General features: G+C 45.2%; 1 long non-coding RNA gene across 1 annotated transcript; it reads left to right on the plus strand.

Moving 5' to 3' along the window:
* The first annotated feature begins 1,481 nt into the window (after window positions 1-1,481).
* Window positions 1,482-12,556, plus strand: LOC105373874 (uncharacterized). The gene is made up of 3 exons (XR_923878.3): window positions 1,482-6,048; window positions 7,846-7,913; window positions 8,956-12,556. It is a non-coding gene; the product is annotated as an uncharacterized LOC105373874 (long non-coding RNA).
* The last annotated feature ends 11,428 nt before the right edge of the window (window positions 12,557-23,984 follow it).

Raw genomic sequence — 23,984 nt, forward strand, 5'->3', positions numbered from 1 at the left:
GGGCGGATCACCTGTAGTCGGGAGTTCAAGGCCAGCCTGGCCAACATGGTGAAACCCCGTCTCTACTAAAAATACAAAATTAGCTGGGTGTGGTGGCAGACACGTGTAATCCCACCTACTCAGGAGGCTGAAGCGGGAGAATCGCTTGAACCTGGGAGGCGGAGGTTGCAGTGAGCTGAGTTGGCACCACTGCACCCCAGCCTGGGCAAAAAGAGTGAAACTCTGTCTCATAATAAATAAATAGAGTGGACAAGGAAATACTGATGGGGGTGAGAAAACAATTTGAGAGACATTTGAGAAGTAGTGAGATAACATTTGGTTACTGATTGAATATGGAGTGTTAGGATAACCCTGGGATCCTCATTTTGGGCAATCACAAAGCTACTGGCTACAGCAAAAGGAGGGGAAGAAAAGTGGTGGTGGGAGGGAGGCATGAGAAATTTGCTGCTGGCCATGTTAAGCTCCACCTCCTGTCACCAAGTGGTGATGCTCAGGAGATGTTTGTGTCCACAGGAGGAGAGTGATCTGGGTGGGAGGTTTACATGTCCCTCCTTCCATCTCCCGGTCCTTCTTTCCCTCCTCCCTCTTTCTTTGTTTGGTACTTCCTTTCTTCTCTCTTTTCTTTTTCTGCCTTCTTTTGAGAATGAAACCTAAGAGTGTTTATATGTAGAGGGAAAAAGTGGAGCTAGAAGTTTAAGACACAGGAAAGGGAGGAAAAATGTCCTAGTGTGAGATTCCAAGGAGGAAGAAGGGCCAGGATAAGGTGGGGAGAGGGATGCCTCTTTTGCTCATTGCCTTTATCTGTCTTTGTCTGTCCTGGATTGATTGTCCTATCCTTTTCTTCCACTTCGTGTCTTCTCCCGTATTTCTACACAAGGCACAGTCAAATAAGGGCTGGCACGTGCGCATCTTTGTGCACACATGTGTGTGCACAAGCATTGAGGGATGCACAGGTGCACACACCTTGTAGAGCCTCTAGTAGCTCAAGTCACATTTTTTCGCATTTCCAGATTGTAAGCCTTACTGAGGGGCAGATGGGACGTTCTCACAGGAAAAAGGCTGACCTCAGGGAGAAAGATGTGGCCCCCACCTACAAACCAATGATGTCTACTCCCAACAGGGGACGTCTTTCCCCTGCGTGAAGCAACAGGACAGATTTGGTTAGGTGTGGCATCGATGTCCTAATCTCCTATGAGCACACAATGAATGAAGGTGGGGGGCTCTGTTAACTGGAGGGAATCAGGGGCTGCCCTGCAAAGCATGTGCAAAGAAAATAAATGCAATTGGAGTGTTGTCTACACATCGTCCTCAGTGGGCACAAAAGAGGCACAGTGGGATGGGGCTCTGACCCAGTTTCCATTTGGCCAGCCGACTGGAAACAGCTACTCACTGGGCCACTGGGTTCTTTCCAAAGAACAGTGAAGAACAGTGGTTTGGGGTAGGTGGGGGCAGGGGCTGGTGGGGCAAGAATGTCAGAAGCAAATGCAGGCGTGGCTGGTCCAGTAGTTCCAGTACCAAAGAAGCCGCTATCTGGAAGAGTGGGACAACCCATCCTAAACATGGGAAGAAGAAACAGGAAATTTCAAAAGATACAACTACTAATTAAATGAAAGCACTCCTTAACCACCCCTTTGATAATTAGATCATCTTCTCCTAGAATGAGAAGGAATATTAGTCTGACTTTGCCCTCCATATGGAGAAACATGGCAGGCAGGCTCTCTGTGCCTGGAGGGTCTGGCCAGACTTTGTCTGGCATGGGTATTTTGACTCCAGCCTATTTTTTAGGGATCCTCCTGCAGCTGGTCCTCAAGAGGTCTGAACTTTGCCGTCTCATTTCTAAAGCCTCTTTCAGCAGGTACTGGGGTTCCCAGGTCCAGGGAAGCCTGGTCATTGCTAGAACACATGGCAACATCCTTCAGGAAACTCAGCTCAGACTGTCTGGAAAGATGCTGGAAAGGCTGAATCCATGCAAGTATTATCTAACCAGCCCCAAGTCATGTTTTCACACTTAGATTTCTACAGGATATTCATAAATTCTGGAAACAAAGATATTGCCACTTTATTTTATTTTTACACATTGAGAAGTTTCCTTGGCAACATAACATGTATTTGCCTATGTTTCCAAGGTTTATGGATGAATGTGGGTGGTCAATGGGATTCATTCATTTTGCCAAGCAAACGATATGTTTGAAGCCATATTAAGTGCCAGGTACCATAGAGGATACAGATGTTCATAATGTAAACTGCCCTCTAGCAGCTTACAGATACTACCTAGGAATAATGCTTACACTGCAGTAAACAACATAAGGCAGAATATATATATATGTCTTTGTACTCATAACAAAATGTAAAAGTCAAAGTCAGGGCTCTTTTAACTTTCTTAGTAGCAGAAACCCAAATTGAACTTAAGCAGAAGGGGAATTATTTATTTAAAACACAAAGAAATTATTTATTGAAAGCAAACAGGAAATTGATTATTGCTTCTTACAACTCATGAGCTAAAAGACAGAGCTGGGTTCAGATACAGATATATCCAGAGTTGTGATGCTATCAGGACGCTGTCTGGTAATGAAACCAACCACAGCACAGAGCCTGGAGTGGAGGGACAGACCAACTCTCTTCAGATGCCACATCCTCACCCAGCAGACCTCCTCCTCTCCAGCACCCATTCATCAAACCTTCGAGAAGACCCTGGTTGCTACTGCAAGGCTTTCAGCACCAAATGGGAACCAACTCCTCCTCCTTGGACATGGAATACTTGAACTGGCCATTCTGGGACAGGGGCCTGCCCATGTGAATGGAGGGAGGAAGAAGTGAAATCCTTAAAGGGTTGCTGGGTCAGCATATCACAAATTTCCCTTGCCGTGAGCCAGATCTGATGGGATGGTATTAGTCAATAGGTAGATAATAGGGGGAAGAGGGGGTGAAGAATGAGATGGTTCTACAAAAAGAAAGGCAGGGTGCCAGAAGGTAGAATTTGGGCAATAGTGAGTCACAGAATTGATTGTGTCTTGGAGCCCATGGAAGGGAGCTGAGGCACCTACGGTTGGAGGGGGAGGTGGGGACCCTTGGGCACAGCTAAAGAGTCTGCTTTTGGGTAGGATGTACAGAGCAATTAGAATTATTTAGCAGTGACTTAAAGCCAAGAGAACAAATCTGGCTTCAGAGTGTTGACATGGAAGAAAGGAAGAGGCAAATGGAAGAGGCTATTCCAAAGGGAGAAGGTCTGAGCTTGGTGGTGCCTGGGAAGGAAGGACACTGCAGCCAAGCTGAGCCTGTGTCCAGCTGAACACGGACATTTACTTCTGCTTCTGAGGGGAAATATTGTCATGTCTTATGGGTGTACCCAGCAAAAGATGTTTCCACTAAAAGACTATAGAGAATTGCTTATTTCTAAGGACTGAATTCCGAATGTTTTTGGTCAGGTTCTCTCTGAACAGAGAACCATTGCCCCTGAGCAGAAGCGGTCTTCACACAACTAGCAACCATGTAGTGTTTTCTCATTCAAATGGCGTTTGGTATTCACCTGCCTGTCCTGGAACAAATGCAAAGTCAGGGTTGTTTCTAGCTCTCCCCCAATATTGGAAAAATGCTGATGAACTGAGCCTGGTTCCATTTTACACCTGACAAAAGGAACTCAGATGAGAGTGTTGGTAACTGGGTTTAAGGAGGAGTCAGAGGTGACTGCTGAAATTTCTGCCAGACTACAACTAAATTAAAAAAGGAATTCGGTTTAAGAAGCCAATCTTCAACTAATTTGAACATGAGGATGCTCAACTTAGAAGCCTCCCATGGGGCCCTGGAGCCCAGAAGGGACTGCATACTCTTTGCTCCTGCAGGTAACTCAGGGCTTTGTTCTGGTGTCTCTGACAGGCTTCTAACCTTCTGCAATTCTGTTGCCACAATTTCTGTGGCACCAGGAGAAAATTCATGCATCTAGGCTAGGGTGGTGCTCTCATGTGTCTCCAGGAGAGTGTGGCCTGGGTTAGCTTAAGACTAGGAATGTGCTGACAGCTGGGAAGAAAGTCAAAAGAAGGCATGGCATGTGGTTATGGGGCCGGAGGGACCGCTTGGGGGGAGAGGTGGAAGCGCTGACATGAGCTTGCTCTGCATCGCTGGTTCCCAGAGGTGGCCTGATAGGAGAGTGCCAGCTGGTGGTATGCCGTGGGCTCTGGGGAAGGGGCTAGAATGTTGTTGCAGCCCAGAGGGGCTGGGCTAGTGAGGAGCAAAAGAAAACATAAGCTGGGGGGAAACTGCCTAATAGACCAATTAGGAGACAGGGTTGTGCCCTAAGGGATGGGTGGGAGCAGGGGGTGCTAGAAGTAGACAGAGAGTAACTCTCAGCTCTGAACAGCGTCCCACATAGGAGGAAGAACACTGATGTGAGGCCAAGTGGCTTGGAAGGGCGTTGACACCCCATTCCCTACAACAAAGGGTTTGGCAAACTCATCTCATTTGCTACTTGTCCTATAGGTAAGGATGGACACCAAACCCAAAGAGACTTTTGGGATGTGGATAAAAATTGAAAACTTTGCCTCTCATTAATCCCTTGGAGAATATAGCATCTCCTTCAAACTGGACTGCTCTCCTTGATCCCTTGTCTTTACCTGAAAATATCTTTCAAGGCCTAGCTCATGCTATCTTGGCCATAGGAACTTTCCTTATCACCTCCATCAATGCTGTTTGTCCCTCCACTAGAATCTTCTGTTTTGGTACTCCTCTTACTCAGCCTCAAGTTAAATTTATGTGTACTGGTTTTAACCCCAGTACCCAGTAAAGGTTCTGAATACACGTGATGAAATAAGTCTCTCCTATCCCATGGCACCTAGTATAGCATTTAGTTGCTATACTAATTATTATAATTAGCATTTATTACGGGCTTACTATGTGCAAAGTGCCATTATTCCATTTATTATTCACAAAAATATTTAGTCTCTACTATTCTCTAATTTATTAGATAACCTAATATAAATCTTTTTTGTTTTGATTGTTGCTAGCTGATTGAAGGAAATAGAATTGTGGTGTGGTAGTAGGGGATGTTGAGTGAGTCTTCCTCATTCTTAATATTTCCTTCCACTAGGATAACGCCCCTGGGCTCTCTTCATCAGGGGAGGAGGAGTGACTTCATCTGATAGATTCGGAAGGGAAAATGTTACCCAGTCGCTTCTCAGTCCTCTTTCTCTTGGAGCGAGCCCATCTCTGGAGCACATACACTCTCCCCTGCTCCTGTAGGTCTCGAGTTCTCAGGGGAAGGGTTTGCCCTGTAAGAGAGCTTGTCCTTCTCCAGTGAGGCCTGTCACTGGGAAGATAATTCTGTACAGTGCTGGGATTCAAATTTAGAAAGCCCACTTGCCCCATAATTAAGCCACATTCACCAGCTTTAACAATGACAGAGGTGATATTGAGTTCTCCAGTGATATTGAGTTCTCCATCTGCCTTATGCTTTTCTGCTTATTTCCCCATTGGTTCAGAATTCTGGTGGGAAAAGGGGTGCTGTTTGTGGGATGCCTTCCCACCCTCATGTGGCCCTCCATAAGTTCTTCATCCCTCATTGCATTCAATAACTTGGGTGTGGTGTGGGTGGAGTGCATGTGCCATATGACCCTCTCCCTTGAGTCTTTGAAACCTATTTCTTACTTTATGACTTTGGACTTCCTTTTCTTTGGGAGTATAAAAGTGGATACCACCATTCCACCCCTTACCCGTCATCAGGAGAAGTTAGTTGGGAAGCAAAGGCGGAGTGACGTGGAGGGAAGAGTCTAAAAACAGCTCTACACTTAGCTTTGTCCTTGCATTGATGACAAGCGATGTTGGATCCTGAAAGGTGGGGATGGGAGGTAGGAAGACCCAGGAAGTTGCTGTGAAGGCTAAATCCTAAAGACAGTCACTAAAAGTTTCCAGAAGGGGCATCTATCACTCCACAGGCAAGCAAGATGAGACCATGTTGAAAAGGTCTTAAAGAAGCCAGGGAAGAGGTGAAACATCTCTCTGTGTGCTGAGGACCATACCAGGTCCTTCATTATCATATTCTACACATTGAAAATGAAGGTAAGAGAGCAAGCAACTTGCCCTAGGCTACCCAGGGAATAGGGAGGAAAGTCTGGATTTGAACCTACTGCTGCCTGACTCCGAAGCCCTGTTCTTTCTCTCACCCTGGAGGATGGATGAGGGTGGGATGGGGCAGTTAAAAGTTGAGGGGTATCTCTAGGAGAAAGATGAGACACATGACCATTGGGTCTAAGGAGCCAGAGAGAGGCCATTGTGTCTGAGCCTGGACAGCCAAGCTTCCTAGAGACAGAGGATGGGATGAGATGACTTCTGGCTGACTCTGCCTCCTTGAGCTCTTTAGGATCCCCTGCAGAATCTCCCAAAATGATGCTCATTGGAAACAGAGAGAGCACATTCAAGTAAGTATTTGTGCCACACTATGATTGTTCCAATGACGTCAAGTCTGGGATGGCAACAGCAGCGGTTCCATTTCTTTTCTTCAGGACCTGGATTCTTGCTCCAAGGTCTTCCACCTCCCTCCTCATTTTCTTCCACTCCCACTGCAGGCTCCTTCCTTGGAGGAGCTGGGGCAGGGAGTAGGGGTGGAGGTTGTGTGTGCACTTGTGCACATGCATGCCTGTCTCTTATGTGTTGCTGAGTCAGGAATGGGCAGGAAGGAGAGGCTTGGACAGCAAGGCAGCCCTGGGCAATCTGGTGATGAACTTGAAACGGGAGAGGGTCTATTGTGCATTTGCACTGACTCTGTGCAGGAAGGGTGGGGGCAGGCCAAGGAGGACTGGCTTGGCTGAGACATGAGATGTCTCAGGGGAGGGTTTGGCTGAGGCAGTGGAAGAATGCTTGTCGGGAACCGGCCTGCCTGGAATTGTAACCTCCCCTGCTGTCTCTGCACCACACTCAGAGTACAGCTGTATGCCTCTTAGCTGGTAGATTCCTTTTCTAGCTGGGGACACCGTGGACAGGGACAGTGGGGAAGAGCATTGGACTCAGAGACAACTTGACATCAAGTCCTGCTTGGAATCCTATTTGGGTTTGTAATTCGTTGAAGGCAGACACAGACATAAACTAATCCTTAGTTTTCCCATCCCTTCAATAAGGAGTACAACACCTATCACACAAGGCTACAAGAATAAAAGAGAGAACTTGTACAAAGGCAGGGCCTCCACTTGGCACATCTTAGATCCTAGACAAATGCTGAACAAGGCAGCATGGTGTGATGGTGAAGGGTTACAGCCAGACTGACTGACTGGTCCTGTCTTCGTTTGAAGTTTTGATATTTTGTTCCTCGTGGGTTTTTTGCATTTTTACTATTTATTTATTTATTTATTTATTTATTTATTGAGAGACAGAGTTTTACTCTTGTTTCCCAGGCTGGAGTGCAATGGCGTGATCTCGGCTCACTGCAACCTCCGCCTCCCAGGTTCAAGCCATTCTCCTGCCTCAGCCTCCTGAGTAGCTGGGATTACAGGCATGTGCCACCACATCCGGCTAATTTTGTATTTTTAGTAGAGATGGGGTTTCTCCATGTTGGTCAGCCTGTTCTCAAACTCCCGACCTCAGATGATCCACCTGCCTCAGCCTCCCAAAGTGCTGGGATTACAGGTGTGAGCCACCACACCCGGCCAATTTTTTTTTTTTTAAAATATGGCATTAAAATGGTATTTATCTTGACTACTGAGTTTTTGGTTAACCCCTTACATTTTGTGCCCAAGACATCTCACTCATGTTATCCTAGGCCCAGCATGGCTGGCCTTGTCTCTTAAATTCAAATTTTTAAATTTTTCATTCCTCAGGCTTCTCACTTGTAAAATAGAAATAATAATAGCATCTCCCCCACAGGCCTGTGCTGAGAGTGAAATGTGTTACTACACGTGCCTCACCTTCATTTTCAACAGGACCTATTGCCAGTAAGTGCTCGTTAATGTTAGCCATTATTCTTGGCATTGCTGTTGTTATTAGTGTCAGCCATCATTCTCTCAGCCAAGAGATCCTTCCAGAAGAGAAGTTCTCCATGGAGGGGGATGGGAGATGAGCTGAACCCTGGAAACAGAAATGGATCAGATCAGGGAGCCTCAGTGCCCTGAAGCCAGGGCAGGGGTGCATGGGGCTTCTGCAAAACCCAGGGCCAAGCATGCAGGCAAGAGGCAGCCTTGCCAAGCCCTTGCAGAAAATGCTTGCAGTGCAACTCCTCTCTGGAGACGCCACAAGTTGCCCCGACAGCTTTTCCTTTTGGGGCTTGTTTAACATTTCAAACAAAAATAAAATAAATAACTGCAGTGTTTATGGAAACCTAAGACAGAAATGAAGACGACTTAGAAGAAAGTTAAGTGGAAGTGGGCCAGGAGGGGGTTTAGAAGATGCCCCTTTCCTTGGTGTTAGCAGTTTTGTGCTTCAGTTTGTCAGCTCTTCCTACTGCTCTCCCCTAGCAACTCCTCTGCCAGTGTGCACAAATGCATGTGTGCACACATGTGCATGTGAATGCATGTACACACACATGACACACACACACTCATCCCAACGAGAGGCACACATTTCAGACACCATCTCACACACACACATTTCTCTCTTTCTGGAAATGTGTCCACCCACTTTCTCCTTTATCTTCTTCACTGTGTTTTTTTGTTTTTTTTTTTTTTTCTTTTTAGACAAAGAATCTAATTAACTCATTCTGGCCAGATGGTGTACATTACTTTAACTCCTTCACTCCTGTGAAAATTTTTGGCCTCAACCTTCACTCTGAATAGACCAAGCCAAACTCGTTTTATGTGGATAAGCCATTTCCAAGTCAAAGTTCCGTGGCAGGAAGTGGGAGAGTGGGCAGAGGGAGCAGGTCCTTACAAGCAAAGACTTGTATAATGCTTTGCCTAGATTTGCTTATCAGTATGTTAAATATATGTGGACTATTTTATTCTTCCACCTTTTATTTTGGTATCTTCTTTGTCTATCCAGTCTCACTTTGCCAGACTCCATTATGCAAGAGAGGCTTTGCCAGAAGCAAGGATGCTGTAGAGGAAAGTAATGAAAATGTGAGGATTTCTCAGAAGGCCACATACAATCTCTAGGTCTTTCCAGTACACACAGCTTCAAAAGCCAGGTGCTGTGTTCCCCAAGCAGGTCAGGGCATTTCCAGGAGCCCTGGATTCCAGAAGCTCAGGACACCTCAGTGGTAAAGAGACCCTAATGCCGGTGACAGCACAGACCCTGGAAACCCTAGATTGCCTCCGTGTGTTCCTCTTGGCCTCAGCAGGGCTGGTTTCCCCCTCCTGTAGGAGCAGAGGAGGCTCTCCTCTCTTGAGCCCAGGGCCTAGCATAGTGACCATAAGGAAGCATAGAAGATCCAGCTGCAGATTTGGAAAACAGAGCCCTCATCTCTGGAAGAGCCAAAACTGATCCTCAACATGTGCCATGCACATCAGATATCAAACGCTTCATTCATTTTGCCTTCGCTGGGTAACCAGTGACCTTGAGAAGTCACCTCTCTTGAGTCTCAATTTCTTCAAGTTGGGAACATTACATGACAGGACAGGACTGTGAGGATTAAATGTAAACAACATTTTTTTTTTTTCTATAGAACATACTGTGGGGCCAGCACCATGCAAGGTGCTTTTATCTACAATTTATTTCTTTCCCTTCCCATGCCTTCTGCCTCTTTGAATAACTGCTGCAATGGCTGTAGAGAGATAAATGCAGTAGACCAAGACTTTTAGTGATTTTTAAACAATGTTCTAGGGCAAATACATGGGTATGTTTACATACTCCACAAAGTGAAAAAATTATGCTAGTCAGTGTGCAAAGTGTGTTTTTCCAGACCTGCAAAAACTGAGATCAACTTCCATATTTCCAACTTCCATATTCCCTTCATCCCTTAAGCTACCAGGCAGAGGATGGGAGATAAAATTTGGCCATAAACTTGTCATGGGTCCATCTTGGTCCTAATTAGAATTATCTACTTCCTAATCCATTAACTGCATGGATAGATAGTCTGAGGGCCTCAAGGGCAAGAGATGACTTCTACCCCTCCACCCATCCAGCCCTGACCCACCCTTCTCATATACATTGGAGAAAGCTCTGCTCTGTGTAAAACACATCAAGTGCAGGACATGGTTCTTTTCTTCAACTATCTACAGAAATGAATAGCGGCCCTAGAGAAATGCAAAAGATGCCTGCAATCCAAGGCCAAATTGGAGAACATTTCAAGGAGAACTGGGCCTTTATTGTAGAGTTTGGGAAATGAGTAACATGTAGATCTGTGAATAGATATGTCTGAGGAAGCACCAGGCAGCGGAAATAGCTGGTTGCAGGAGCAGTTTGTCCTGCCCACCTGAATCTTCAGGTTCCTTCAGCTAAGCCTTAGGAGAGGAGGCTGGAGAGCTGCTTTGCTGGATCATCTCCTTTGGCCCCCCTCAGACTAGAACTGCACCTCCTCTCTACCTAGCTCTGTGCTCCACAGGCTGCCTCTGGGCTGCACTGATGGGCTCCCTTGACTGCTGGCTCCTGTTCAGGGTTGGAGGAGGAGGATGAAGTCATGGAATAGTGTCCCCATGCTGGGCTGCAGGTACAGTTGCTGCTTCTCTACTGAAGACCCCTGACAGCAACCCTGTCTTACAGCCAGGGTGTTTGTAGTTGCTCCCTCCTCCCTGTCCCTTTAGAGTGGTGATGGCACTATATGTTAGATATGGTCAGAGCAGGAGACATCATTTTCCCTTAATTCTATTCTGCCTTGTAACCCCTTTCTTAGACTCTCTGCTGAGTCTCTGCTTATGTGTTGGGATTGCATTGATGCAGATGCTTTAGGGCCACGTTGTGGAGGATACAAGATGATGAGACAGGAGGCAGCGTATGGTGAATCACTTCTCACAGCTCCTAACTAAGTTCTGGGCACATGAATGGGTACTCAGCACATACCTACTGACCAAGCCTATGGAGAGCTGAAAACTCATAGGCTGACTTTGAAGCGAGGCCTTTGAAACCATCGTCCCAGGGGAAATAATCTAGGTCAAAGAGACGGCTGTGGCAAGGGTGCGAGCTGGCAAGCATGAGGGCTGACAAAGCAGGCAGCACTCCTCCTGAGCAGATGACCAGCCCCGCAGTGCTGGATGGGTACGACTATTCCAAACCCTGGTGTAATTCTGTCCTCTAACGTGGCTGGTTTGACTCAGCACTGCTGGGGAGCCACAGAGCCTTCTTCTTTAGCATTTATGAGCTCATTATAAGCATCCAAGAAAACATCAACAAAGGGTGCTAAGTCCCTCTAGAACTGCCTTTTAAATTTTTCTTTTGTAAAAAGAATGATGCTTTAAGTAAAACCACAACTTACAGAATTCAGACAAAACCAGGCAGCCCCCAATGTTGTTATCCCAGCTCCTCTTGGAATAAATTTGGGAATGAACAAAAAGTCACAGAAGAGAAAACTCCAGCCCACACCCACACCTTTTCTGACATAGCCGCCTGTGCAGGTTTTTGGGACCAGGTCTGCCATCTGTATTCCCAGGCTGGGCTGGAGCACCTGAGGCTACTATGGTTACAGAAAGGAACCTGGCATCCGAAGGTATAGGCTCAAATCCCAGCTCTCATGATTGCTAGCTTTGAGGTTTCAGGTTCATTTCTTAAGTGCTCTGAGCTTTGGTGCCCTCCTCTTCAAAATGGGAATGAGGAGCATGTCTAGCTCCCTGTTTTGTTGCAGTGAATAGCTACATGAAGAACAGCTAAACCAGAACAGAAAGAAGGCAAATGGAAGCTACAGAAACCAAGGATTTCCTTGTTGAATCGAATCTTCCTTCAATCTTCCTTCACCACACTAGTGGATCTCCCTGTGGGAGGGATGTTGAGAGTGCTCCGTGTTTTTTTTGTTTTTTTTTTTTTTTTTTTTGTGATGGAGTCTCACTCTGTCACCCAGACTGGAATGCAGTGGTGCGATCTCGGCTCACTGCAACCTCTGCCTCCCAGGTTCAAGTGATTCTCCTGCCTCAGCTTCCCAAGTAGCCAGGACTACAGGCATATGCCATCACACCCAGCTAATTTTTGTATTTTTAGTAGAGACGGGGTTTCACCATGTTGGCCAGGATGGTCTCGATTTCTTGACCTTGTGATCTGCGCACCTCTGCCTCCCAAAGTGCTGGGATTACAGGTGTTAGCCACCACACCAGCCTTCTCTGTGTGTTTTTAATCAATAGCAATATGTACCATATTTAGTAGGGACTATAAAGAAATTGTGCTAGAAACACCTGGTTATTTTACAGAACTTTGCCAGTGAGTACAAAAATATGCGTAGCCCACAACCTCTCTCCCCTAGAAAATACCTCCTGTGGGTAGAATGAAATGGGTAGGTGTTCTTACCATTCATTAGCATTTCAACCTGGCTATCTTCTTCCTAGAATTCCACTACTCCCAATTGCCCATGTGTTTCCAATAAAACCAATTCAATTGTGTACCAACTTGGTGACAAAACCTTTATGTAGTTCTTCTATCATTTTGTGGGGTTTTCAAAGAGGGTTGCTCTTTGATATGGTTTGATGCTGTGTCCCCACCCAAATCTCATCTCTAATTGTAATCTCCATGTGTCAGGGGAGGGGCCTGGTAGGAGGTGATTGAATCATGGGGGGGGGACTGTTCTTGTGATAGTGAGTGAGTACTCACGAGATCTGGTTGTTTGAAAGTCTGTGGCACTTCCCCCTTTGCTCTGTCTCCCTCTTTCTCTCCTGCCACCATGTAAGACGTGCCTTGCTTCCCCTTCACCTTCTGCCATGATTATAAGTTTCCTGAGGCCTCCCCAGCCATGCAGAACAGTGTCAATTAAACCCCTTCCTTATACATTACCCAGTCTCAGCTAGTTCTTTATAGCAGTGTGAAAACAGACTAACACACTCTTAAAAGTAAATGTTATTACCCACCTTTTACAGATTAAGAAACTTAATATTACATCAAGGAATTAGTTTATAGCACTGGATGATCTGGCCTCAAATCTCCAGTGTGATCAGTATCAAGCTTTTCTCACTGTATCAACAGAGTTTTCCTAACAAATCATAAGACACAAGTAGTTTCTCCAACTTAATCTATTATACCCATAATTCACTTGCCTCCAGGGAAAAAAATTAGATGAAACAGACTGTAGTGGCTTTGTGTAAAACAGCAGCTCCATTCCTTTAGCCCTATTCTAAAACAATAGACCATGTGCTGATAGCTAGCTAACCTCCATTCAGTGCTTCACTATGTGTCAGGCATTTGTTCCAAACACATTTTACATGGATTATCCCATTTAATCTTTACACTAAAGTATAATACTCTTATTACCCCATTTTAAAGAAGAGAAAACTGAGGCACAGTGAGATTAAGGAATTCATCCAGTTTCTGCTGCAAGTAGGGTGGCTAGCATTGTAATCTGGGCATTTGCCATGAAGCTGTGCCCTTAACCACTCCACTATGTGCTATAAGGTGGAGCTGACTTCATGGGGGCTAATTCAACCAGGGGAGTGTGCTCATATTAACAGATCTGTGAACTCCCTGGTTTGTTTGTGAGACAATTATCTATTTGCTTACCTGAATCACAGCAATAATAGTTATACCTCCCACTTACTGCATGCCTACTTGGTAGCATGTACCTGGACAGAAGGTTTTCATTTTTATGACAAACCTGTAAAAAATGGCTTCTTAGCCTGGTTTTTCAGATGAGGAGTTTGATTCTCCATCCAAAGTCATATGATAAAGAAGTGGTGAAACAGGAATTCCAACCCAAGTTTGTTTTGTTTTGTTTCTGAAATCCATAGACTGGAGTAGAATCTCAAATTATATGACATTTGTCTATGCTTATTTTTTAGTTTCCAAGGTGATGGATTATTTAAAAACCAAACGATTTTGAATGTAAAACAAGCTTAATTCAATTTACTTATAAACAATGAGCACTGACTCTTGTATACATTTAAGTTATGAGACACTCCAATATTAATTCGACCCACACTTTTCTTTCTATAATCTATTGCTCCCAAATATTCTATACTATCTGCATGTCTGCCTTAGATACATAAGGATCCAGCCCTTTCCCATGTGTCTCTCAGGATGGCACCTTTGCTCTGGGCCGGATGCCATGGGGTTCTCAGTGATGCGCACTGAATAATGCAAATATGAGGACATAATCACAGAAGGAAGCCCTTGAAATTCTAAAGATAAGGCCCACAGACCAGGGTACTTTGAATAAGTCAGTCATCCTTTTCCAAGGTTATACTTTTTCCCCCTAAAATAATAACTGCAGACACAGTTCTCAAAGCAAACAGGTCTGGTATAGTAGAGGCATTTTTAGACAATTTTTTTCTATCTACTTGTTAAGCACATTTTAAAATACTGATTGCCAATAAAGGGCTTTCCATAGAACTCAAAATTCCAAGTCTCTGTCCCAAGCTTCTGGGAGCATTCCTCCATTTTTCTGTTTTTATTTTTTGAGATGGAGCCTCGCTCTTGCTCAGGCTGGACTGCAGTGGAGCGATCTCGGCTCACTGCAACCTCTGCCTCCTAGGTTCAAGAGATTCTCCCACCTCAGCCTCCTGAGTAGCTGGGATTACAGGTGCATGCCACCATGCTCGGCTAATTTTTGTATTTTTAGTAGAGATGGGGTTTCACTACGTAGGTCAGGCTGGTCTAGAACTCCTGACCTCAAGTGATCCACTCACCTTGGCCTCCCAAAGTGCTGGGATTACAGGCGTGAGCCACCCCGGCTGGTCGCATTCCTCTATTTAGTGTTAATACCCTAAGACTCCCCAGCTGACCACCAAATGTAGGCAGGTGGAGGGACTGACCTCCAGGGGGCACATGTCTCAGGTTGACAAACACATTTTCTCTTGATCCTTTTTTTCAGTATGATGAAGTATTCTACAAGACTCTCATTGAACCTTCTGATATCACATTCTAACCATTTATATAAAAGTCAAAAGCTCCTTGTCTTCAGGATTCCAAAGTTCTTAGCACAAAGGTCCAGGAAGTGTCTGAATTCTTTGGTGTCTGGTTCAGTATGGATGTTCGGGTCCCTCTTAGACTTGAGATAGAACAGGAAAGAGATGAATAGACAATGACAGAGGTAGAGAAAGTACCAACCCTTCCCAGGCTGTCGGCTTATTTGACTGTGGGAATCAATAAAAAGTATTTAGTGACTAAAATAGAATTTGAACCCAGTTCAGATCTGTAAGCTAACATTTTTTAGGCAACACCATACAGCCTCTTCATCATTCCCTGGCCTCTTTCATCCTATCCCTTTTTCTCCCCCTTCCTCTTTCTCTCCTTTATTTCTCCTTAATCATCTTGCTTCTCTTTCTTATATCTTCTCAGTAAGTAAATAATCCACAACCTCACAGGTAAATTAAAGTTGCCATTCGCACATCTGTTGGCTCCCAGGTATGGTTCCAGGATACTGGGAATGTTAGGTAGTGAGAAAGATTCAGATGATATTAATTTCCTGCAAATGGAATATTCATGGCAGGCACAGTCTGGCCAATTGCTCATGGCCTGGCGAGTACGACTAGCCTCGATTGTACCTGGTCTTTGCGAATGTGGTGGCATGTTCACTGGCATCACATACTCCCTCTCATCTCCTGAATGGCTGACCAGTGCTTGCTTCAAGTTAGATTAGAGTTTGAGCTTTGTAACATAAGTCCCCTTCTGTCTGATCAATGAAATGAGGGATAGGTACTTGCCCGAGAGTTATGGGACCTGGCATTTAACGTGAGAACATGCATCTTCAGAAGCACTGGTGAGACTTCAGAATTCCTGAAAGCACTATTCTTGCAAGGCTTGAATGTACCTTCTCCACTCCACCATGTCCTCTCCCAACCCTACTAGCATGATATCAAGCTTGGGTGGAGAGCTCGCTTGCAACTTTGTCAGATACCCATGAGCCACTCTTTGAATTTCTGACAATGAACAAGTATGTGGGAGGCCAACCCCATCCAACCTGACCCATCTGAACCCAATCACATGTTTTCTATTTTGAAATAAACAGGCAGGGTCTCAGGAATTTTAAGTGAGTCCTCTATATCTTTCTCTATCTTCCTTTTCTTCCACTAATTATTACAGAATTGATCTGCCAGTAATTACTACTAAATTGAATTTCAGGGGCAGTGCTGTATCTGGCCCCAATACCCTAAGTCCAGTAATAGCCTGGAATGTTGCTGAGTTGTTACCGTCCTTAAAGGGTGAAGCCACAATGATACTTTCTATAACTTCTATTTGGTCTTTTTAAGCCCAGCACTTAGAAGGATTCACTTGTGGAGACCTTTTCATTTCTTTCAACTCTACAGCTTAGTGCCTGAAAGGCACATATTGGTCTCTGTGAATCTCTACGTTAAGAATCTGATTTGCAGCACTGGAAACCTTGCTAGTCTTAGCTCTGGGCTGAATCCCATGAAGCCACGCCATGCCTAGGGCTTTCATGCTGTAGTCCATACCTCTGAAGAAAACGGAGAGAAACATCTTCCTCCCTTCTTCCCCCCAAGTGTGTGTCTGTTCTCGTCAGATTCTTGGCAGGGTTACCAACTCTCTTCTAAGCAACTTGGATTCACAACAGAATGATTCCTTTTCAATGCCAATCTAAACAAATGCCATCAACTCTTATCCCAGGGAGTATGAAAAACAGAAGAGTCCTTTGTGACTCTGATTGGCTTTGTGACTTCCTTGGGGCTGGTGTTGGTCTCAGGCTTGTGTCTCGCAGTCATCCAAAATGTGGGTGGGCCATGTCCCACCTTAACTGTGGTTGTGAACGCAGAGGATTCACTCAACTTTCAGCATGCAACAATAATCAAATGCAGTTTTATGGTTCACAGAGGGCTCCACCTTCATGATTTCATTTGATCCTCCTAACAACCCTGGGAGCTCAGAGAGACTAAGGAACTTGTCTCATATCACATACCCAGGAGTTGACTGCACGGCATCTGATGCCAGCTTCTGTACCACGTGTCCTCCTGGTGATACTAGAGTAAATAAAACATAACTAGACAAGTAAATATTTTGTACAAAGTAATCTGCTAAAAATGTGGATGGCATTTTAGGTTATTTGTTGGTTTGGGTTATGCCTCTTCTTATTTTGTAGATAACTGAAAGCTAAGAGCATTGTCTTATTTATTTATTTATTTATTTAGGCAGAGTCTCACTCTCTCACCCAGGCTGGAGCGCAGTGGTGCGATCTCAGCTCACTGCAACCTCCACCTCCCAGGTTCAAGGATTCTCCTGTCTCAGCCTCCCAGGTAGCTGGGATTACAGGCCCCTGCCACCACACCTGGCTAATTTTTCTATTTTTAGTAGAGACAGGGTTTCACCATGTTGGCCAGGCTGGTCTCGAACTCCCGACCTCAGGTGATCCACCTGCTTCGGCCTCCCAAAGTGCTGGGATTACAGCACTTTGCAATCCCATGCGTGAGCCACCGCACCCGGCCCATTGTCTGTCTTCATAAGCAGAAGGCTGTGGCACAGGGTAGGAGAAGAACATGAAGACAAAGTTGAGGGGAGTTGCTTATCTCATGCTTCTTGCTGCTCTGCCTGAAGCAAAAATGCTTTATGGATACTTCACTTATGATTTAAAATAATAGCTCACATTGTGTACTTACTGTGTGCCAGGAACTGTGCTAATTCTTTATATTATGCCCATAAAACCTGCTTCTGAAGCATTGGGGGGTTTGCACTTGCCGTTCCCTCTGTCTGGAATGCCTCCCTATGCCTACCTTCATGAACCTCTTCCCTTTACTTTCCCCATCTCTGTTCAGGTGTCACATTTTTAGTTATTCTTTCCTGACCGCTCAGTATAAAGTAGCTCACACCTCTACGTTATCACACTCCCTCTTACCTGCTCTATTTGTCTTTATAGCCCTGCTCACAATTATAGTGTACATGGATTTCTTAATGTGTGCTTTATCTTCCCCCTCCCATCGGAATATAAACTCCTTGAGAGCAAGGATGATATTTTCCCCTGCTGTTTTCTCAGTACCAAGAAGAGTGCCTGGCACGTAGTAGCTGTTCAACAAATATTTGCTGTGTAAATTATCTCATTTTATAGATAAGGAATCTGAGGTTCTAAGGGAGTAAATCATTGACTTCAGGGGACACAACAGGCAAGAGGTGGAACACAGTCATGAGCTAAGGCAGTCCCAGATCCTGCCTGACCCTTCACTCTCTTCCTCATTCAGTGAATCGTAAGGCACTTGGGCTGTTTGAGCAGTGCCCTTATCCATACCCTGCCCAGTCAGGGCCTCCCAGAACCAGGTAAAAGGATCTGGCCCCCTCTGCCATCCTCCCACTGGTGCCCTTCCCCTCCCACCCACCGCAACCCCCATCTAGGGAGAGGAAACTCTTTTTCCACCTAAATTCCCCCTCTGTCTAGTTCATCCAAGTCATCTCCCTTCCCACCACACTGTTTACACTTGTGGGTCTGTGTTGATGCATATCACAGCCCCCTTAGTCATTGTTTAGCCATTATACTTTGCAGGGGTAATTTTCCATCCCTCTGTTTATATTTTTGCTTCTCCTTCATGTGCTCCCCCTCCCACTTCTTAAGGGCAAAGGAAGACATGTTCAGTCATACAAGCAATAATAGAGTTATAATTAAGATGGGAACATTTTGCCAAAAGGAGGATTTAGTTGTGATTTGTTGAATGCCATCCTGAGTGCATTATTTAAGAGCAAATTCAAGCTCTTTCATGAGACTTCCTGAACAGTGCAGTCCTCTGAGCCTGCTGTCTCTATAGTCTTTGTGTCAGCTTTGTGGGGTCAGGATTGCGCGTGAAGGATACATGTTTAGCAAGGCCTGGTTGCTGAAAAAGCTTAAAAGGAAACTTCAGGGACTATCTAGGAAGATCTTCTGTGATCTGTTCTCTGATTTTGTGTGCTCTTTTGTGGTTAGCCATTGCTCTTGGTACCGTGTGGGACTTAGCACCCTGTGCCTCAAGGTAAGAACACACTTCCAGCCCAGCTTCAGTTTAATGTTCACTATGAGAGTCTCCAGTAACAACCCACACTCTGCGTGGGATTCACTGCCTTTCCCATGTCCTGGTGTTGGACATACATACTGGACAGAGTTACTGCCTTTTCCCCTAGTAATTAGGGGAAAAGGACCACATTTTCCCCTAGTAATAGGGGAAAAGGTGTCCAGTATCAGAGCTAGGTAGAGCTGAATTTGGATATGAACTTGAGCTGTACCCCATGGTGTCTTTTCTTGCAGTCCTAGCCTCCAGCGCCTTTAGAATTTGCATTCTGTTTGGTGGGATGAGGACGGTGGCAGTGGAGACAGGGTGAGAGGAGCATGGATGGGTCCTAAGCCTTCCTGTCTTCAGCAGCATCTCGTGCTCTGCGGCTCTGCTGTGTGCCTCAGGGGCTGCCCATTTTCAGGTTGCATTTATTAGCTTCCTGGATGCTCTGGCTTCCAGTAGGGTTTAGCCTGTGGGAGGCACTGGATGGAGATGGGAGGGAGGGAGAGAGGACAAGAGAAGTCATGTTATTTCTCCTTTGCCTTCCCAGCCTGGGAGGTTTCTCCAGTAGCAGCTGCCTCTCTTCTTGGATTCCAGACCCCACTAGACAGGTGTGCTGTGGCTCCAGCTTCTGTCTGGTGTTGCTGGCCCCTGGTTCACCTGACTCCAGCTCCTCCTCCTCCATGCAGCTGGGTCCTGCTGCTGCCTCCCTCTGCTCTGCCTTGCTGTCCCCTGTCAGGCCTCTCAGCTCCTCCATCCCCTGGGTTACCAACTCGCTATACTGAAATCCTTCTGTTTTAGAAACTCATATGTGATTTTCATTCTTCTTGGTTGGACACTGACTGATATTGAGGGATTTGTCTTAGAAGTAAAGCTGTGTGAGCATTTTCTCTTGGTAAGTTCTCATTTTCCCTTAATCATTAGAAGACACGGCACAGTAAACGCGAGCTCATGAGCAGAAGGCTACATAGTTGTATACATGTGTGTGCTTTTTTTCACACCAGAGTTTGATGAAGCAAAATACCCAAAGGTCTTTTAAAAGTAAAGAGGTTTTAAGAGTAAAGAAATTTAAGAAAAAAAACAAAAAGAAGTAAAGATGGTTAGGTCTCCTGTTTGCTCTCCTTTTGCAATCAGTCTGTCTCGCTCTGTGAGCTGACTATGCTGCAGACTTTTCTTTTACCTCCAGCCTTTCGCTTGTAGGGTTTGAGGCTAGGGGCGGGGAGAGAGAGTTCAGCCCAGCAGGCAGCAAACCCTATGTGCAAACACGATGTGTGAACATTGTGTGCTTGGGGGAACTGGGATTATTTAGCTGAGAAGACACGAAATCTCCTCCCCTTATTTGGGCTTTGGGATCTGAGTTCATTGGAAGCTGAAATGTAAGAGAAAGAAGAAAGGGGGAAGGAGTGGGACAAAGGAGAGGGGAGTGGGAGATCAGACTGGGCACATTCTCCCTCACAGAGGGAAGCGATTTCTTTGTTAGGAAAGCAGTTCTGTTTTGAGACCCGGATGCCTTGTTTATGCTCAGGTGTGAAGCTGGCTTAGGAATTGAGTTTAGCTTGCCTCTGTGCTTTTATGAATGTGTTGGCTGCTCAGCAAATTTAGTACAGAAACATTTTATGTAAGCAGAAGAGAAAATTATATTTTAAAAGTTGTTTTAACAGAAGGTCAGAGTATGGGATTGAGAATTAAAAAAAAAAAAAAAGGAAATTCTGTGTTCTAGGCTTTAAGACAGAGAGTCACACACACTAATTTAGACCAGCTGGGGTGATCTCACAGGGACTCCATGGGCCAGAGCTGCCGTTCCTCCATGGAGAGCACATTTCCCCTAGAAATGTGTACTCAGGTGCAGCTGAAGGGTCTGAGGTCATGGCTGCATCCCTGGCCAGGGTCCTCCCAGGCTGCAGCCTCTGCTTCCTCTGTTGTCCATTGGTCTAGAGCCATCCTTCGAGACCAGAGCCAGACCATGAGCGAGCCAAATGTGCATGAGGACAGCATGAATTATCCTTGGAGACCAGGGGGCCCTGTTCATCCAGACATTGTCTTTCTTTTTAAAGAAGCTAAATGCCTCTTTTTCCCTCTTTCTTCTTGCATGACCTCTGGGAGCTTGGGCAGTAAATTTCTCTGGGACAGGTTGTGAGGAACCTCTTCAAAGAAGCAGAGATGAGACAAACTGTTTATCAGTTCACTCTCTACCCCTGCTGCCCTCCCAATGCTCAGGTGGGCCCTAGATTCATCCAGAAGCCAGGGTGTTGTGCTTCATGAAAGGGCCAATACCCCTAATGTGGGACCTATACAATAAAAGGCAAGGGCAGAAAGAGAGAAGAAATAAAAGGAAAAGGGGTGTCTTGAGGGGAGTACATGATAGACTCCTGTGCCTGGAAGGGACTAGGAAACTTATACTGACTGGTTCACTGCATTTGCTCAAAGAGTATTCATCTTCTTGAGTTTGTCAGGTGACTGTAAGAGCTGGGTTCAAGTTCTTTGGTTCACTATTATATGCCTAGCTGAGCACAATGCCTGGGACTTAGAGGGAAGGTCTGGGACTTCACCAGGATTCCCAAAATAGAACAAAGCATTTGTTATTTGCAAAAGGTTCACAAAGCCTGAAAAAATATGTGTTGTCTCTGGTGGAAAAGTAAGGGAATATAGCTTAAGTACCTACTACGCTCTGACTCTTTGGATTTCACCTGCAGGGCTTTTAGAGGTGGATAATCAGGGCCATCTTTTTCGGGGGTGGGGGGCGAAAACAACCACTGAAGAGGTGAAGAATCTTGTAGTTCTAAAAGGATCAGAGAGAGGCTTAAAACAACTTTTGCAAACTGAAATATGCCAGCCAGCTTAAATTAGCAAAGCTGGAACTGTGGCAGAATGAATAGCCCGTGTCTGAGTGAGAGGGAAGGAAAGGGTCTACTGTGTGATAGGCAATGGTTCCAAAGTAGGAGTAGGGGCCTAGTGTGGTCATGCCTTCTGATATGTCAAGAAAAGGCAAAAAGTTGATATTTATTTGAAATATTCTGATTTTATAGGTTGGTGATCAATTAAAAAACTAACAAATACAGTTAACAAACATGTTTTAATGCTTGCAGACAGGATCCTTCCTGCCGATGTTTGGCCTTTGTCTTTAATGGAATTTGGGCTGCCCCATAACAGCCCACCCTAAGCAAAACTTCTTTTCTGCCTTTCTTTTATATTGTTTTTTATGGAATGTAGAGGGATTTTTCTGGAATTTTTGGAACGGGGAAATTAGTGACAATGGTGGTGCTGAGATTCCTGTTTATTTCTTGGCTTTTCCCCAATTCCCTGAGGGAACTCATTTCTTTTGGATCTTCCATAACATCGGTCACATAGTTGGGCACAGAGAGGGCCCACACTTGGTACATGTTGATGAAATAAATGTGTCTTCCTCTAAGTCTAGCTGAATGGAGAACTGAAATATTAGGGTGGGTGAAAGTTACCTAAATTGTTTGCTGCCAAATTTTGCTGTGTTCTTTGTCTCCAGTTCTGTGAGGTGTGTGTTAGATACCTATTGCTGTATAACAAATCACCCCCAAAACATATCTGTTTAAAGTAACAAACATTTATTATAGCACACATCTGTAGGTCAGGAATTCAAGTGCCTCTTAGCTGGTACTCTCATGGGGCTGTAAAGGAAATATCAGTTGGTGCTGCAGTCTCATCTGAAGGATCCACTCCAAATTCATTCATGTGGTTATTGGCAGGATTCGGTTCCTCACCCTATATTGGACTGAGGGCCTCAGTTCTTCACTGATTGTTTGACCGGAGCTCTCCTTCCATTCTTTGCCATAGGGCCTCTCCATAGGGCAGCCCCGAACATGGGATCTGGTTTCCATTAGAGCAAACAAGCAAAGGAAAGCAGTGCAAGACAGAAGCTGCAATGTTTTGGTAACCTAATCTCAGGAGTGACCCTCCTGTCACTGCTTCTATGCTGTATTCTAGTCATTAAAGGAGACCATCTCACACTCAAGGGGAGAGACTACACAAGCCATAGTGCTGCCATGGCAACACAACCATTAGGATGATGCCTTGAGCCTTCCTTCTTCATATTTCTTAGACTTCCTTTCTGACCTAGAGGAGCCAGAAGGACTTGGGACTTGTCATACCGTCCAATCCCAAGAAATGACAGGAATGAAGGAATTTTTAAAAATTCAACTCATTTCAACACACACACAAAAAATGAGAGAAGTGAGTCAATTTGAGAACTGAAATTCTGGTAGACTTTTGGGGAGACACTAGAAGGGCCATGTTCATGAGTAGGAACCATAGATTCTGAGTCAATTGGGCATGAAAGTTTTTCTCCTGGTGTCCCGATCTTGGTCGTATAGTGACCAAGCATCCAAGAAGGGGATAACACAATGTTCTTACAGTGTTTTCTCTGTTGTATTAATAACTCAGGCATCAGCCAGTGGAATGGGCAAAGCTAAGTGAAGGTTTGAATGCCAGACAGATTCTCCATTGGCTAAACCCAATAGACATGAATAAGGAATAAGGCCAGGAATCAGCATCCAGATATATTAATTTATGAATCTGAGGTTATTCCAAAAAGCAAGAGAACAGGAGCACCATTGGCTGAGACGGACACCAATACCAAGCTCTAGAGAGTAATTTCAGGCAGAAAGGAAACCTTAATTACCAGAGGTTCAAGGGATAGGCACACAGTAAGTCCAAATAGGCAGAAAGAAGGCATCAGGGATAATCTGGCAGAGACTGCATTCAAGGTCAAGGGCAGGGCATCCCAGCTGCTGTTGAGACTGGGCTCCAAGGAAGTCTCCCTGGAGAGACTGAAAAACAATCCTGGGCCTTAATCACTGAGGACTGAAACACAACATAGGAGAAAACTAGGGCTTAAGAGAGGCTTGGTCAAGAAATAGGCAAGAACCTGATTATTGGGGAACAAGAGATCCACAGTCAGGCTGGACCAGTAGCAAGACAGCAAGAGTAGACAAAAAGTTGACCACTGCCAGAAACCAAGATTGGTCTCTGAGTCTGGCATGGGGCTGAAACTACTTGTTGAGATCAGGCTGT

This window comes from Homo sapiens, chromosome 2 (assembly GCF_000001405.40).
Source record: "Homo sapiens chromosome 2, GRCh38.p14 Primary Assembly".
Lineage (NCBI taxonomy): Eukaryota > Metazoa > Chordata > Mammalia > Primates > Hominidae > Homo > Homo sapiens.